Source organism: Homo sapiens, chromosome 3 (assembly GCF_000001405.40).
Source record: "Homo sapiens chromosome 3, GRCh38.p14 Primary Assembly".
NCBI lineage: Eukaryota > Metazoa > Chordata > Mammalia > Primates > Hominidae > Homo > Homo sapiens.
In genome coordinates this window covers 131532458-131551439 of record NC_000003.12, presented here as the reverse complement: position 1 = coordinate 131551439, position 18982 = coordinate 131532458, and the positions used below count along the sequence as shown (strand labels likewise).

Sequence of the window (18982 nt, the reverse complement as noted above, 5' to 3'; positions counted from 1 at the left end):
CCTGTTTTATACTCTTAGAATTCATCTGCCTGATACTTTTCAAGAGGAAATCAAACTTGCTTATCTTAGGCAAAAGCTCAAGAACCAAAAAAACATAAGGAGCTTCTATTCAGCATCACTTAACTTCAGAACCAGACTGCAAAATGACTTGGCATCTGTCTTTAGAATGATAGGCTTTGGGGCAGGGCCAAGTGGGTGCAGGATTGCCAATGAGGTTGGGAGCATGTATGTAAGGGCAGAACAGAACAGAACTTGCTCATCTAAAATACCCAAGAGCTATTTTGCAGTGCATGGTGGTTATGGAGAATAATCTCAGGAGGGAATTGTGTGGATCCCTCTGGCCAAAAACAGGACTAATGTGCTATTTCAGAATAGAAAGGGATAGAAGGATAAGCTGAATAGGGGAAGGCAAGCAATAACACAGGCACAGACAACAAGAGAAGCCATTTGAATAAAAATCATTTGTAATGAGATTATTGCTGTGGGATCAGAATGATAACATGAAATGTACAGTCAAGATGTATCAAGTACTAGGAGAAGCTGTATAGATAGGACTGCCTCTCCTGGCAGAGTCCCATCCTTTTCTATTTCCTGGGCTCATATGGCCTCAGGATGGAAGCCCCCTTTTAAATGAGGGGTTGTCCGTGATGATAACCATCACTTATCTGTACTCAGTGCCCAGGAGATGAGTATATCAGCCACTTTGCTCATTCATCACACACTTGGTGAGCATTACATTTGCTCGATACTGCCTCAAGCTCTTTGGGGAAATACAAAAAATAAGTAAGTCATGATTCCTGCCCGCAGAGTATAACATCTGGAGAGATGGTCATGGGAACTCCTGACTCTTATAGAGGGCACGGGTAGTATCTACTAGAGTCAACAAGATCGTGTGGAAACAAGTGCAACATTGAAGCTAGCTTGCTAGTGGCTAAGAACACAGTGCTTAGAGCCAGGCAGACCCAAGTTTAAATCCTGAGTCTTGAACACACTTGCTATGTGACCCAGGGCAGATCATTGAACATCTCTAAGCCTCTGTTTCTTCACCTATAAAATGGGTATAACATCTATTTCATTATGCTATGAGGAGCGAATGAAATCTTATATATAAAGTAGGATATTAGGGAAAATTTTGTGGAAATCGTTGCTTTTGACTTTAGCTTTTAAAGAGGAGAATGATTTCAGTGGGGAAGGAGACAGCAACACTAGCAATGTGGTATTCCTTTTTATCTTAAGAACATAAACATGATGTTGATAAGGACTATTTGGGATATTTAATGCTTTACTTTTGTGTGTGTTTGGCTATAAATATATTTGGAGTGACTCTGGAGCTGTTGATCTTTGCCAATTTCACCTCAGGAATTCAAGGAGTTGTGGAAGCCTATCAGAGCTGTCTTCCTAAGCTCCAACTCTACGGTCCCACCAACATTGCCCCCATCATCCAGAAGGTTGCCAAGTCAGCGTCAGAGGAAACTAACACCAAGGAGGCATCGGTAAGGAGGGGGCTATTTGCCTCCTAAGGGGAGCTTACTCTTCCTCACCTGGATATTGGCCGTAAGACCCATCTCACTCTAACAATAAATTCCAACACTTCTCCCTGTGTGAATTTGGACAAATGACTTAACCTCCTCCTATCCTCAGTCTTGACATCTGAAACATGGGGATAATCAAACCCATCTTTGCTGGGTTGTGAGGCTAAGAGATGACACATGTCAAATGTCTACCACATTGTCTGAACACAGGAGAAACTCAACAATGGAAGCTACTATATTCACTAAAGTATGTCATATCCACCTCCTGTCCTTGAAAAGAAAAAAGAAAGGTTTAAAAATAAGCTTGCTTTTTAAGGTACCCATACTACAGATGGAAGCAAAGCACCATGGAAGTAAAACAATGGATGATTCTGCCTCCTGGTGGTAAAGCGCAGCAGCACAAAACATCACAGCAAAAATTGGTTTCATATTCTATTGCTTTTCTTAAGAAAAATGCAAACCAAGACCAGAGTTTGAGTTTTGCCCCTAATATTTTAGAAGTAAATATATTACCACAATAACTTCTGTATTTATTTTAATAACATTAATACATGTCTTTTTAGCTTTATGATTTTTTCCAGATTTAGTGGAATATTACCAATGTCTGAAGTTTGCTCTGTAATTTTATCCTGGGTACTGAGTTTTTATTTAAAAAAATACTACTCCCTTATCTTCTTACATCAATTCATCTAACCTTCTTGCACTGTCTTCATGTTCTCAGCCTTCCTTCATGTTAGAATGGATGGAGGACCATGCTCCTACCTCATGTCAACATCTTCTTTTGTGTACTTGAGCACATCTCTGAATTATCCAGGAACTTTGACTCTGCAGTTATATTCTCGCTCTTTCTCCTATCATCTATTGTTTTCTTTTCTACTTCCCTTTGTACTGAAGACTCATTCCCATTAACAAGTACTCATTCAATAATATCTCCTGCTTTAAGTTAATATCTCCCCCTTGACTCTGCTTTGCCCTTTAGCTACTGTCCTTAACTTTTTCCCACTTATAATCTGCACTCCATGCAGAAACCAGATTGATCTTTTAAAAATATAATTAGTATTGCAGCATTCCTTTGTTCTAAATTCTCTAATACTTCTCATCATACTTGGAGTAAAATCTAAATTCCCTGATATGGCTTAGAAGACATTATAGGATCTAATCTCTGCCTACCTCTCTGATCTTAATTCTTATCATTTTCTCTTTCGCTCCCTATATTTCAGCCACACTGACCTTCTTGCTGTTCCACAAACACACCAAATATATTCCCACCTTGAGGCCTTTTCACTTACTGTTCCCCTGCCAGGGTTTCTCTCACCCAAACCTCCATATGATCCATTCTCTGACTGTGTTAACATCTCTTCTCAACTCTCAACCCCTCTGAAAGTTCCCCCTGGCTACCTTATCTAAAATAGCCAACCCACCCACCCGCACCATGTCTCAGCTTTACTTTTCTTCTTAGTACCCATCATCATCTGAAATATTTTAGGTGCATCTACTAACCTGTATATTTTATGTCTCTCTACTTTCATATGGAAGCTCTACAATAAGACTTGTTCACTAGTATATCCCTAGTACACAAAACAATGCCTGCACACAGTACATGCTTAATAAATACTACTTAAAGAACGCATATAAAGCCACTCTACTTTTCATATATATATATAATGAAAAGTACTTTACATTTTCTTTTGTAAAACTGGTGTGTATCTTAAATATTGCACATCTTGTACGCCAGAAAATACAGTGTTCCTGTTTTCATTATAATTTGAAGTCTCTCCTACTTAAAAAGATCCAAATTCCCAAGGTCCCTAGAGAGAACAACAGTCACTGCATGTCTTTGGTTCAGTCCACTGGCCCTTCCATACATCTCATTATCATCTTCAGCTACTCCGGGCTTGGGTCATTGAGTGACATGAGCAATTCCTACAAGGGAATAGGAAGTTTGAAGCAAAATTTTGTTTTAGACTCATAATTTTTCCATGTCCTTTTATTAACATAGTTGACCACAGTTTCAATCTGCTACACAACATCCATCAGGTGACCCATAGCTATCCATAAGAAACAAATGGGTCTGATCTGTGGGGCATGTTCTCTCATCTCCTCTGTTCATTACATCATGTTCTTGAAATCACTAACCGGTGGTTTGACTGTGAAAAGGACTGGAGACCCTGGGGAGCTAAGTGTGTGTTACTTCAAATAATTACTTTAGAATAGTGAATATATAAAACTGTGGATATATTAGCCTTTATGCTGGGCAGAGACACTCTGTAAGCTGAGATCTTGTCCAGCAGTAATGCTGAGGATTTAATCCAAGCCAAGTCTTTTCCAGGTGTGAAAGCTAAGAAAATCATGACTCCTCTCTGCTCATTTTTCCTCTTCTTTTCAGAAGCCATGAACACTATTAGGTTTTTTTTTTTTTTTTTTTTTTTTTTTTTTTTTTTTTTTTTTTTTTGCGACAGGGTCTTGGTCTATCACCCAAGCTGAAGTGTAGTGGCACAATCATGGCTCACTACAGCTTTGAACCTTTTGGGCTGAAGCATTCCTCTGGCCCCAGCCTCCCAAATAGCTGGGACCAAAGGCATGTGCCACCACGCCCAGCTAATTTTTATATTTTTTGTAGAGGTGGGGTCTTGCTATGTTGCCCAGGCTGGTCTCAAACTCCTGGGCTCAAACAATCCTCCTTCTTTAGCCTCCCAACGTTCTGGGGTTATAGGCATGAGCCAATGCATCTGGCTAACCACCAACACTTCTCAGGATTATAGACCAACATTTCCACCAGTGCGTGGGCCCTGCAAAGGCTTCCCCAAATGCATCTCTTTCTGACCACAGAGGTCTTGGAGCAAATTTGAACCTTCATAGATGCAAGATTTAGGAATAAGGTTTGGATGTGACCATTATTTTATTTTATTTTTTAACCTTTTTTCAGCACCAGAACCAATTCTTCAAATGATAACTTGCTTAGAAACTCAACATATAAAATAGACTTAAAAAATACACTATTCTTGCCAAATTTGGTCTAAGGAGTAGAGTCAGAAACTTGTCCATTCTCTTTAGCTCCCTTATCCTCAAGAGCATCCAAGGCATCCCTAAGGGCTCCCTGGGGCCCAGTTTAAAAATTGGATGATCTCATCCCCTCTGGGGTACCAGGACTCACATGGCTAAAAAGAGAACAGAACTAACAAAGGTCTGGATTTCAGGCTGATATAGAACAGCATGAGTTTTTGGCCATCACTCACTCCCTCAGGGATAGCTGGGTCTGCAATGAAAGGACAGGTCATTAAATGGGACTACAAGTAAGAAGCATCCAACCCACACATCTCCATATAAATTACCCCTATAGACCAAGAACATAAGCTTTTCCCCAGAGGTTTCTCCTGTTCTTTGAAAAGTCTGTGGTCCAGAGTCCCTTGTTATCTCTAAGGGTCATAAACTTGAACATCTTTGGCAAGCTGTGCCAGGGAGTCTGTTGCTATAGGATTTTCCCCTTGATTTTGTGGAACTCTTCCAGGTAAAAAATGCCCCTCTTTATCTAAACAGGACCTCAAGTATATTCAAAGACTATAATATTTCATCCATGAGCATTTTCCCAGTCTGACTTTAGAAGGAACTGTTATTGTTTGCTTTATTGGAAATTTCTATCAGGTTTCGATCCTGCAGTCTACAGCCTAGTGCCTTTAGCTAGATGAAACCTGGCAGGATCAGATTCCAGAATCCTGACAATCTCTTCAGACCAGGAGTTCTTAAACTTATTGTTCCACAAACCCCTTTAGCAGCTGATAAAGTTCATAGATCCCTTCTCAGAAGTGGTTTTTTGTGTTTTTTTGTGTGTGTGGTTTTTTGTGTTTTGTTTTGTTTGAGATGGAGTCTTGCTCTGTTGCCAGGCTGGAGTGCAGTGGCAGCTCACTGCAACCTCTGACTCCCTAGTTCAAATGATTCTCCTGCCTTAGCCTCCCGAGTAGCTGGGATTACAGGCACGTGCCACCACGCCCAGCCAATTTTTGTATTTTTAGTAGAGACAGGGTTTCACCATGTTGGCCAAGATGGTCTTGATCTCCTGACCTCATGATCCGCCCACCTAGGCCTTCCAAAGTGCTAGGATTACAGGCGTGAGCCACTGCACCCAGCCAGAAGTATTTTTAAATGTACAACATAAGACCCATATTATAAAGTAAACCAATTATATTGAAATGCAGTTAGCAAAATATTTTTTAAAAGGAAGATGGAGACATCATAAATACAGTAATAAAATGCTTCTGTATTTACATTTTAAATTATGAGAACCAGTAGTTTGTCTAATAATTCTGTAATTTCTAAGTTGTGTTAAACATAAATAATACATTGAAATATATGTAGGTACTGTAATATAACAGGAAAATATGTGTTTTTTTATTAATAACTAAGCCACAAGTAGAACTAATATTAATTTGATTTGTTGATTACACTTATAGTGAAAAAATGATAAATTTTACTTAGAGATTAGTGAAAATAAAAATGTAATTTACCCCAAGTTTACAGACTGCCTTAAATCTTGCAGTAGTCCATGGAGACAGGTTAAGAACCCCTAGTTTAGATCAGCAGTCAATAAACTATAACTAAACTAAACTGTTTTTCAATGGCTTGCAAGCTGAGAATGGTTTTTAGATTTTTTAATTGTTGAAAAAATCAAAAGTAGAATAATATTTGTATTTTGTGACATATGAAGATTTTGTGACATTAAAAATCAGTGTCCATAAATAAAATATTATTGGAACACAGCCTCTCATATTCATTTTAAATATTGTCTATGGCTGTTTTCACACTACAGTGGCAGTGTTAGGTAGTTGTGACAGAGACCATTATGGTCTACAAAGCCTAAAATACTTATTAATGTCCCTTGACAAAAAATAGTTTCCTGACCTCTGCTGTAGAACATTACGACTCTAAAGTTTCTCAATGTGGTAGTATGACTATCAGGTTGTTTTATTTCTTAAGGCATTTATCAGGTAGGGGAGATTCATCCACTGAACTCTAAGATCAGATCAGACAGGAGTTAGGGGAAGGTAGAGGATAAAGGTAGGAGACACAGAAGTGTGATTCACTCGAGGGCCCACCTGCTCATGAATCAGAAGTAATCTCTTTTTGGATGTGCCACCTGCCCTGGTCTTCCAGGTGCACTCTAGAGAGGGTGACTTATGATTCTGGTATGTCCTATACTCCTTCCCTCCATCCCCAAACCACCAACATTGCCTCTTTCTGCCGCTTCTCTCTGCACCTCCCTACCACCTCCATCACTTCATCCTACTGAAAGCCTTCTCTAAACTCTCAAGCCAACTTCCTTGTGAACATATACAACTCAGAAAATACAGACATAGAAGGAAACATACAACTTGAATGAATCTGAAAACCAAACTGGGAATTCAGCTAGGACTAGGGGTGAGTGGTTAGTTAATGGACATGGAACAGAATTAGCCTTTACATTAGACTGTATGAAAAGCATTCAGAACATGTGGCTATCTTCATCACAGTGTGAAGTTCACCTACCTCCAGCTTACATTTTTCATTTAAAACATTTTTTCAGGCTCACAGAAAAAAAATGAAATTCTTTAGTACTACCAAACTATTTGCAACATTAAGTATATGATTCTCAAAATCAGATGTTTTCAAAATGTCACTCTTCTATCCAATCTTTCTCCTTTGAAGTATGGTAACGTGGAATGGCTTAATCTCACTCTTACTACCTATAAATGTTAGGCATCTTGCAGGATTATATTGAAAGTTCTTTTCTGTTTAGCCTGAGCTGCATCTGACTAATCTGCTTCTCTTTCCTCTTACCAGTAAAGGCCATCATGATGCCTCTCATGTTGACTAAAAATAATGATGACCTCCAATGGGTCATCCTTCTCCAGGCCCCAGAGCACTTTCCAAGGCTTCCCTGTGCTGCTGAGTACAGCACCTTTCCTCCAATTCCCATCTCTGCTGAGTCATCTTCCAGCTTTCCAGATGGAAAGGGGCCAGGCAGGCTGCAGGCCAGAAGTCAGGACTTAAAGCAGGAAGCCATGGGAGCACTGCAACCTTCTGCAAGTGTGCCTGGAGAAGAGCTGCCACCTTTGTGGCACATGGCCTTCAGAGGGAGAGACTGCAACCCTGACCCTCTTATAGCAGGACTTTAGACTAGTGCCATCCAGTGGAAATATAACACAAGTTATGTATACAGTTTTAAATTCTTCAGTAACTGTATTTTAAAAAGTAAAAAGAAACAGAGAAATCCATTTTAATTATATATTTTATTTAAACCAACATAGCCAACATATTGTCATTTTAGCATGTACTCCATATAAAAAAATTATTAATGAAATAATTTGCATTCTATTTTGTATAATAAGTCTTCAAAATCCACATGTATTTTATACTTACAGCATGTCAATTTGGATGCTAAGTTATCATAAATACTTGATCTTTGTTTAGATTTTATAGTTACAGCTTAATTTTAATAACTACCTCACTGACAGTTACAAAGAAAGAAAAAGTAGATTAATCTACTGAAGTTGTTCCAAACATACTTAAAATGTTTCTAATAACTGAATTGGCTATCCAATTTTAATGTTAAATTTAAATTCATTACAATTAAATAAAATATAAAATTCAGTTCGTCACTTGCTCTAGCCACATTTCAAGGGCTGAGTAGTCTCATGGGGTTAGTCATCATTGTATTGGATGTCATAGCTTTAGATTTTTAAATATCTTCAAGTAAAGAAGATCATATAAATTATTGGGTCCCACCCCTCATTTGAGAAATGAAGAAGCTCAGACACAGACGAGTTAAGGGATCGTCCCAGGGTCTCACAGAATGAGGCTTTGAAGCCTGTCCTCCTAACTCTTGGCCTGCTGCTCTTTCTTTGTAACTGTCAGTGAGGTAGTTATTATAATTAAGCTATAATTGCCATGCCTACCTTTAAGCTCCATTCATCAGAACCCTAAGCCTTTAGGACTATCAGCACATTCAAAAAATGTCTGTCATCACTGTTGCTTTGGTCAATGTGCAGTGAGGCCACCTGGGTGTCTAACTGGTATTGTATTGTCCTTGTCTCCCTCACCTCTTCACCCCCCCCCATCATCATGGGGCATCTGACTGCAGCAATACTTCATCCTGCTGATCCTGACAGATGGTGTTATCACAGACATGGCCGACACCCGGGAGGCCATTGTCCATGCCTCCCACCTCCCCATGTCAGTCATCATCGTGGGAGTAGGGAACGCTGACTTCAGTGACATGCAGATGCTGGACGGTGATGATGGGATTCTGAGGTCACCCAAGGGAGAGCCTGTTCTTCGAGACATCGTCCAGTTCGTGCCCTTCAGGAACTTCAAACACGTATGCATATACACATTGGGGCACTTTTCATGGAAGAGCAGAACCAAAGCATGCTCACCTCCCACATTTGTCCACCAATGTTTATGGTGATCCACCATTCTTGAAGCAACACCAGCTATGCTCTACATACCCTTGCTGTGGGAGATGACCTGGCTTAGCTATCCCTTCCTGGGCCACGTCATCTCCCACAACAAGGATATATAGAGCATGACTCTTTGGAGAAAAAAATTATAAATTGAGTTACAGATCAGGAGCCATGCTAACTATTGTAGGCAAAATTTCACTGATGCTTGCCCTATAATTCATATAATTTAGGATCTCTAGTGCATCTAGGACTGCCTACAGATGGGCAGCTTGTTCCCTGCCTAAAGGTGCCTGCCCAAAGTACCAAGCAGAAACTGAAATGCAGCTTATGTTTTGCTTGTCAAGCTATGTGGCCTGGCAGAAGTCTGTGTTTGCCTTGGCAAAGTATATTTCCAAAATGATAGAAACCTAAATCCTCTATAAAAAATATAGTAAGCAGCATCAAAAATTTATTTAACTCCTTCAAAACAAGATGATAAAGTTAGTTCAAAAGAGTATATAAGGCTGGGTGCAGTGGCTCACCCCTGTAATCCCAGCAGTTTGGGAGGCCAAGGTGGGTGTATCGCCTGAGGTCAGGAGTTTGAGACCAGCCTGACCAACATGGTAAAACTCCATCTCTACTAAAAATACAAAAATTAGCTGGGCGTGGTGGCAGGCGCCTGTAATCCCAGCTACTCGGGAGGCTGAGGCAGGAGAATCACTTGAATCAGGGAGGTGGAGGTTGCAGTGAGCCGAGATCACACCACTGCACTCCAGCCTGGGTGATGAGAGTGAGAGTTGGTTTCAAAAAAAGTAAATAAATAAGACAGTTAAAGTCAGTGGGAAAAAATGCTGAATAAGTTTGCTAAGGTAGATTGAAAACTGATTAATGACCAAGAGGGTAAAAAAAAAAAAAAAAAGTAATCTTTGAATTGCCCTCTCTGTGGGCCAGAAATCGCCTGCTATCAGTTTTCTATAAATTAATACCTAACTTTACAGTCTTGGGCTCTTACCAGTAAGAAATAGTAAGTCAGTCAAGCAGCATTGCATTCCCCAAGGGCCTTGAGGCAGAACCATTAGACAATGCTCTAGTATGACATAGAAAAAATGCTCAGTAACAATTTTCCCACCTTCCCAGGTTTTGATACATTGTGTCCATGGAGGAAGGAGCATTTTTTAAATTTCCACAAATCCCTGCACCTACTGAGCTGTAATCACCCAGAAGGACATCTTGAATTCATAAAAGCCTCCCTTGGGGCTAATGGTAGTCCTGAAGACCCCTCTAGAGTATCCTAGCTGTGTCTAGGCACCTGTGGGGGTAACTTGGGTATTACTGGATAGCCTTTGTGTTTTTTGTTTTGTGCTTCTTGTGAAAGCCACCCAAGAGGAGAGCATATGCCCAGCCCCTACTTTCCACTGAGGCCTTGCCCTCTGCACTGCTGCAGATGCCAACAATACCATCCCCAGGGCTGGTGACTAAACTTGAGCTGCCCTGGCAACAGGGAATCTTCAGAACCTTCAGTACCGTGAAGCTTATCTGTGGTCTCCTTGGAAAAGAAGAGAATCCTCTCCTTTCCATGCTACCGAGTCCCCTCTGTCACCTGAGTCATTAATGCAGTGAGATGTGTCTCCACATCTCAAAGACCCCTGCTGGAAAGTATCTTCATTAACTTCCACTGCAGTCCCTCCCTGCATAGGGCTCAAATCAGTTATTTGGGTCAGGCAGGATGCCATCCCCTCCACTTCAACCTTATTTGGTAAAGCCTTTCTCCTCCAGTCAAAAACTCATTCAAATGAATCCCTGACATTCTTCATACTGAGTTTATCAGATATATCCAGACACATCTGACTCCCAACTTGGGTTCACACTGGACTCTCACCTATACTGTGTAAGGAAATTGCAGATGAGAGGTGGAAAGCTAAATGGATCATCAAAACAATGATCCATCCATCCTCCCACCCCCATACATACTTGACTGTAATCCTGGTACCAGTCCTAGTGTGAGAGCCTTTAGCATATGCTCTTCAGAAATTGCTGTTTGTTGTGCCACTTTCTTTGGACAGGCTTTAAAATAAGAATTCAGATAGATCACCAGCTCAGCAGCCTCAGCTGAACTCTGTATTTCATGACCTGCCCAGACTTCATAGGGAAGTAACTGCACATTCCAAGGCTCCTTGGATGATGAGGTATTGTTCATAACTGTACTGCCACACAATTACTACTCTACTTTTAAGGAGGGCTGCAGTGTAATTAAAATCACTGAAGGAGCAGAAAACCAATCCCTGGCTACAGAGTTGATCACAGAGAGAGTTTCTAAGTAACAGCAACAGCAGTCAATCTTCCCACAAGCTCCCAGGGCTGTGCATGTGGATGAGGGGTAATTGTGTTGTTATATGCCATCCTCAAGTTTCCCTAGGAAGAGATTTTCAAATAAAGGTACTCATTAATGAAAGAGATGCACTAAGCCCTAAAGTTGTCTGCCTATGGACAGCAAGGAGTAGAGTCAAAAAGAAGTAGTATTCTTTACAGACGGATGAGCTAGAGCAGGCTAAATTTGCTGCAATTATGTTCATTAATGAAGCTAGTTTCTCCCTAGGTGTCTAAGATGGAGGAAAGGGTGTTCTTCCTGATTTTAATGCTGCATTCTTTTCAGACAGACAAAATAGATAGACACATCACTGAATACCAGTGATAACTTTGCATAGTGCAGCAGGATCAAAGAGTTCACTCTCTAGGAGATTCATTAACTTCCCCAAATCACCCTCTCTCCCCTCTGCATCCCCCACCTCCCCACTTCCCCACACACACTTGTGTGCTGACACAATGTCACTGAACTATGAAAGGTTCTAACCTCTACCCTCAAGTCTCCTCCTCTTCCCCAAAACACTTACAGAATGCTTGTTCTGTGCAAGGCACATGCTAGTCACTAGGACCACAATGAAATGATAGAACCATGGATCCACACCTCAAGACATTTACTGGAGAATTGCATGACTGGGAGAAAGGTATTAGCAGAAAAATCACATGCTAAGCAACCTGTGGGTGGTTGAGAAGAATTAAAATGTTGTTACAGGACCTCAAAGCAGAGAGAGGTAGCCATGGGAAAAGGCTTACAGCTTAAGTTAAGTGTTTGAGGAAAGACAGAGCCTTGGAGAGCAGGGAATTTTGGGGACATTGTCAACAAGAGGAATGCTCAGGGCAGAGCAAGGAAGTAGGGTGCTGCTCACAGTCTCTGTGCTACACAGATTCTCTGGCTGCTCTGTGAATGACCAAGGAAGAACACCAGGCGCATACTCACCCATCTTATCTTCATGGATTTCAAATCAGATTTTGAAATCCATTTCATTACCCAAACTAATCTACTTTGAATTCAATAAGCCATAAATAAAAGGGAAGGTAGCAGCTTAAATCATTTTATGTAAGCCATTAACTCATGAATTGCCTCTCTTTTTCTGCTCTGCATGATAACTCAGAGCTTTAGAGCTTACAGGGCACAAGTTATGTTATGGTCTTTTTTCCTGCTCATATAACAGAATATCATAGACTGGATAAAGAACAGAAGTGTATTTGGCTCATGGTTTTGGAGTCTGGGAAGTCCAAGAGCATAGCACCAGCACCTACAAGGGTCATCTCATGGCAGAAGTATGGAAGGCACAAGCAAACATGTAAGACACAAGGAGAAGGAAAGCACAAGGGGCAGACTCTCTTTTATAACAACCCACTCTCATGATAACTAACCTGCTCCCATGATACTGACATCTTATGAGGCCCCACTTCCCAACCCTGTTGCATTGATCATTAAGTTCCCAGCACATTAATTTAGGAGACACACTCAAACTATCATATGCTTTAAGCTTTGTGACTCTGGGCAAGTTATTTAACCTTTCCATGCCACAGACTTTCATCTATAAAATGAGGTAAATGATACATGCATTGCAAAGATAAGGTGTTGTCTATATAAAGCTTAAGATAGTGCCTGGTCCATGTAGGTGGTTAATAAATAAAGCTTTTATTACTGTTATTACCAGCTTCATTCATATTCTTGACCCTTTCCCACCCAATACATGTCCCCAAAGCCTTATTTGCTTGCCAGCACAGATATGCAAGGGGATGGGGGATCCTTTGGGAACAATGCTGTCCAATATGGTAGCCACTAACCACATGTAGCTACTTACGTTTAAATTCATTAAGAGAAAATAAAATTTCAAACTCAGTTCCTCAGTCAGACTTGCTTTATTTCAAGGACTCAATAGTTGCGTGAGACTAAGACCTCCCATACTGGACAGCACAGATATAGAATATTACCATCATCAGAGGAAGATCTATTTGACAGCCTGGTTTAGGAATATTTTTTGCTGCAAGCAACAGTAAATCCATCTTACAGGGATTACATAAATGGTTTTTAACCAAGGGTAACATTATGCCCCAGGAAACATTTTGGAATATCTGACATTTTTGATGGTAACAAATATGGGGCTTCTATTCATATCTAGTGGGTAGAGGCCAAGGATGCTGCTAAACTTCCTGCAGTGCACCGGACAGTCCCCCACACAAAGAATTATTCAGCCCCAAATGTCAATAGTGTCAAGATTGAGAAACCCTGGATTATACAAATAGAACGTATTTTTCTCATGTAGCTAGAAGTTAGGGGCTCATTGCTGCTGGAGTCAGTGATTCAATAGTGTCAGAGCCAGCACATTGTGATTCCCTTTGCTCTTCCTACATAATGATAAAATGGTTGCTATAGCTCCAGTAATCACATTCTATTTCAAGATAGAAAGGAAGAGGAAAGGGACATAGGGCCAACTGTGTCCAGAGCATGTTGGCTGAAGTCCCAAACTAAGTCCTGGACTATTACAATGGCAAAGGGATTAAACCAAAATGTTCATCAGAAATGTACAAGTCTTCAGGGCTGGGTGCGGTGGCTCACGCCTGTAATCTCAGGACTTTGAGATGCTGAGGCGGGCGGATCACCTGAGGTCAGGAGTTCGAGACCAGCCTGGCCAATATGGTAAAACCCCATGTCTACTAAAAATATAAAATTAGCTGGGCACGGTGGTGGGCACCTGTAATCTCAACTACTCTGGAGGCTGAAGCAGGAGAATTGCTTGAATCCGGGAAGCGGAGGTTACAGTGAGCTGAGATCGCACCACTGCACTCCAGCCTGGGTGACAGAGTGAGACTCCATCTCAAAAAAAAAAAAAAAAAACAGAAAAGAAAAAATGTACAAGTCTTCCAGAACACTAGCACCATGACCTCCACACACTTTTACAGAGTTCCGAAATACTACTCCTGCTAATATTTCATATTTAATACTTTTACTACTCCTGTACTTAAAAAAATACATACACCTTTAAAAATAGCACATTTTGGTGATTTTTAATTATCTGAAATTTTTTTTGCATGTGTAGCCCTGAGTCCAGAATCTGTTAAACTCTTGTATTGTTGAAGACTTTTCACAAGGGAAAAGTCTTTTAACTTTTAACCAGGAGAGAAAAGCTTTCCAAAAAACCTCCCCCAGGAAATTTTCACTTATATCTCAAAGGATGGAATTGGGTCATATTGTTATCCCTAGATGTAAAGGAAGCTGGAAAATCAAGGATTTGACTTTCTAACCTTTGTATGAGAAACAGCCAGGGAGGAAAGGGTATAAATGACTTTTGTATCTGCCCCAGTATACACATGGACCATGGTCTAACACACAACCCTGAGCAGTTATTTATAAAATAAAGGGATATCTGTAGATCACAAATGTCCATCATGCTATGACATCTTCAAAATGTGAAAGATCACTTGAGAAAAACTCTTTACAGTGTTTTCAGATTGCTTAAAAGATACATGTCTCTTATTTTGAGACTCTGTGAGATAGAGTGAATTATTTTTCTTTTCTCTTTTGCCTCTAAGAACAGCGGGGCTTAGTAAAGTTAAATGGCCAAGTGGCAAGCCACATAGAAAAGAAAAAACTGAAAACCAGGTCACATGGTATTCAGTCCAGCCCTCTTTCTTTTGGAATCTCAAACACTTGTTAAGTCTGCCTCAAGTTTTCAATCTCTTCAATAATAGTTAATAATGAGGCTCAGGCCATTGAAATTGCTTGCCCAGGGGTTGTACAGTTAATACTAAATGCCAGAGCCAGGAGTAAAGCCCAGCTCTACATGACTCCAGAGTCCATGTATGATATCAGCTTCAACCTTTCTCTGCTACAGAATCATCACCATAAATCACATGGTCCTCCTGTGCCCCTACCCCAAAATCATGCAGTAGATCCATAAGGCTGATAGAATAAAGGCTAAATGAATTAGTGTGGTATTCAAGACTCTCCATCACCTGGTCTCAAGCCAATTTTCCAACCAAATGCCCAACCAATCCTGCAACTACCCCTAAACCCCCTCGTCCCCCACCTGCCATACACACTTCCTTCAGCTCCATCAGGTAACTCACTATGCCTATGATGGTCAAATGCCATTCCCCTACCCCTTCTCTATGTATTAAAATATGCTCAGCTTAAAAGCCACCTCCTCTTAGAAGCCTCCAAGATAAGTTAGTCTCTATGTTTTTTATGCCCTGGCCTCACTGTTTGTGATTCTCTAGAGAAGAGCTTCTCAAATTTTAATATGCATATGAATCACTAGAGCGTCAAGTTAAAAGGCAGATTGTGATTCAGTAGCTCTGAGTTGGGTCTGAGTCTACATTGCTAATAAGCTCCCATGTAATGTGACACTGCTGCTCTATAGCATGTGTCATATTCTACCTCATAGTTAATATTGGCCATGCCTAGTTCCCCTCGTGATTACAGCCTTCCTGAGGCAAGAACCATAGACCCTCAAACCCTAGTGTGGCACCTGGAACATAAATAAGTGTCTAAAATTGAGTGAAAATTAGAAATAAAACTGCAGAACAATTCATTCTCCCATCCAACTTTTACTCGTCTTCAGATGTAAATAGTTTTATAGTTTGAGACAGGCATAAAAATATATAATAATGAAATTAAAGGTCCATTTTCCAACAATCTGACAACTATTGCTTGAAGTAGACCCTTGACAAATAACGAATGAATGAAAGTGAATGAAACTTAGCTGCCCAGAGCAGGACTCAAATCTTTTAGGATGAGTCTGATTCCTTGACCAGAAGCCAACGTCATGATGATTTCTTCTTCCCTGCAGGCATCTCCAGCTGCCCTGGCAAAGAGCGTGCTGGCTGAAGTCCCAAACCAAGTTGTGGACTATTACAATGGCAAAGGAATTAAACCAAAATGTTCATCAGAAATGTATGAATCTTCCAGAACACTAGCACCATGAACTCCCCACACAGTTTTACAGAGTTCTGAAATACTATTCCTGCTAATATTTCATATTTAATACTTCTACTACTCCTGTACTTTAAAAAACCAACAACATATACACATTTAAAAATAGCACGTTTTGGTGATTTTTAACTATCTGACAATTTTTTTTGCATGTGTAGCCCTGAGGCCTGGATCTGTTAAGCCCTTGTATTGTTAACTTTTTACAAAGAAACACAGATAACAATAACTTACTATTTACATTACAGCATGTCGCCTTGAAATAAAATGGTATCTGTATCCATTTTTTATACAGGTTTGTTGAAATTTTGCTAAATTTCTTATCTTTACACTCTAAAGCATTTTGAAACATTTACTGAATGTTGATAGACGAAATATACTTGGTTTTATCTGCTATAGGATGAGAGACTTTTTAAAATGGCAGATGCATGGACTGTATTTTGCATGTTTAAAATAAAAAAAGAAAAACCCACATGGTTTTTGCAGTTGTTATCTCTAATTCCTCCCTGCTGAGAATGGTCTCTCTACTAAAGAAGAGGTTTATTTACTTCTTCTTTCTGAGGTGAGTCTTTTTGAGGTAAGTCTGGGTCATCTAGCCCAGCACCTCTCATACTTTATACTGTGTACACAAATCACCTGAGAGTCTTATTAAAATTCAGATTGTGATACATAGGTCTGTGTGGGACCCAAGATTCTGCATCTTTAACTAGGTCCCAGGTGATGCTAATGCAGTCCCTGGACTATACCAAGAGGAGTGAGGATCTAGACTTTAGGGTGTCATGATGGAGACCATCAAAAACAGCGTGGCTTCTAGTCTGCTTGAGAATGGCACCTCTTCCTGACAGTAGCACAAAAGTCCTGCCTGTCTCCAGAGGTGACAGTAGAAAGTAATGAGACTGACTCCAGAAGCTGCACACCTCAAATCAGTCTCGCTGCTTTATACTCACACCTCTTCCTTAGATAAGACTAGAAAGTGCTCCTCCTGGCCAGTCCCTGCCCTCTTAAAAGTGGCATCACACACCACTGCATGGATGGTGTCAATCCCTAGAAGTGATCTCAAAGCGTCTTCACTGGAACCACAACAATAGAAACTTACACATGGCAAATGGCTATGCAGTACAGCTCCCGATATCTGGTCCACTAAATTGACCTTTGAGCTTAGTGTGGGAATTTCTTGCCTCCTTTCTATCACTTCTGAGAACAAATTCTATAAGCAGAAATGCCTGGAATTATTGTCTGGGGTCGAGGTGTTTTGTTTCAATATAAGCTGGCCAGTCTGGAACCAAAAGGACGAATGTTTAACTTGTATAATCTTCTTGCAGGGAAACAGGCAAGTGTTTTTGCAAGCATAAAAGGCACAAAGTGGAGTTTATTTTTGGTCAGAGAGATGAAGAAGTAAATCACAAGGCAAAATTTGTTGTTTGTTTGAAGAGGGGAGCAGTATTAACAAGCAAATAAAATGCCTTCTATGATTTCCACAGTTACAATTATAGATCCTAATCTTGCAAATACATGTCACCAAATGCACAACATTTTGGGAATGATGGTAAAATTGTATGACTGAAAAAATCATAAATATTTAAGCTATATTGTTTTATTAATAAATTGGGTACTTACAGAATTCTTCTAAGAGTTGTGGTCTTGTTTCTCTTTTCAAGGCAATTTCCTAACAATAATTTATTTCATGTAGGCAATGTGGCCTTAGAGTAGAAGTAGCTCTTTCACAGTCCAATGAAAACATGGATCACTGCTTCTAATAAACAAGAAATTAAAATATTTAGGTGCAATATTACAGAAATATCTGGTGATTATATCTAACCCCAAACCAAGACATGAACTTACATGTCTATATACCTGGAACACAGTAAACACTCAACAGACATTTAATAAATACAGAGATGACTAATAAAATAAGTAAATGAATGAATAGTCTTGTTAATATGCCTTATGATCAATCTTTAATCCACTGTAGATTTCACAGGTAGGTTAAGTGTTTGTGTCTATCAATTAAATGATGCACCCTGTCATTCACAAAGATCTGTTAGGATCTCTACACTCATGTCAGGATTCCTGGAGTCTGTGAGATGGGGCAGAGAGGACAGACTGCAGTTGGCCTGGCAGAACCTTAAAGCAGTTTACTTTCCTTTTCACAGTCAGACTCAAGTTCATCTCAAAAGAACAATAAAAATAATATCTATGAATTATTGAAGGGTGTCTTAGTCAGGTCAAGTTGCTATAACAAAATACCATAAACTGGGTAGCTTAAACAACAGAAATTTACTTCTCACAGTTCTGAAGTCTGGAAAGTCAAAGATCAAAGTACAAGTCAATTTGGCTCCTGGTGAGAGCTCACCTCTGGCTTGCAGACAGCCACTTTCTTACTATGTCCTATCATGATAGAGAGAGAGCTAGCTTTCTGGTCTCTTCTTATAAGGGCACTAATCTCATCACAAGGATCCCACCCTCATGACCTCATCTAAGCCTAATTATCTTCAAAAGTCCCCACCTCTTCATACCATCACATTGAGGGGTAGGGCTTCATATATGAATTTTGGAGGGACACTAATATTCAGTTCATAACAAAAGGTTACTGTGTGCCAGGCACTGTTCTAAGTGCTTGTAATGTACTATCTCATTTAATCCTCCCAACATCCTCGTGAGATCGGTAGTATTAATAGCCTTACTTTGCAGATGAGGAAACTGAGACACAGAGAGATTAGGTAGCTTGCCAG

At 40.1% G+C, this 18982-nt stretch overlaps 1 protein-coding gene across 10 annotated transcripts in view; it reads left to right on the top strand.

The window, feature by feature from the left end:
- Nucleotides 1-17871, top strand: part of CPNE4 (copine 4) — a 506038-nt gene extending 488167 nt beyond the window's left edge. For 9 of the 10 annotated variants that reach the window (NM_153429.2, NM_001388326.1, NM_001289112.2 and 6 more), the window contains 3 exons: nt 1360-1493; nt 8647-8883; nt 16111-17871. In NM_153429.2, the coding sequence (NP_702907.1) occupies nt 1360-1493; nt 8647-8883; nt 16111-16245 (506 nt within the window). In that variant the 3' untranslated portion in view covers nt 16246-17871. Of the gene's footprint in view, nt 1-1359; nt 1494-7346; nt 7909-8646; nt 8884-16110 lie in introns of those variants that run through there. The other variant, XM_017005694.3, reaches the window with a different exon arrangement.
- Nucleotides 17872-18982: the final 1111 nt, after the last annotated feature.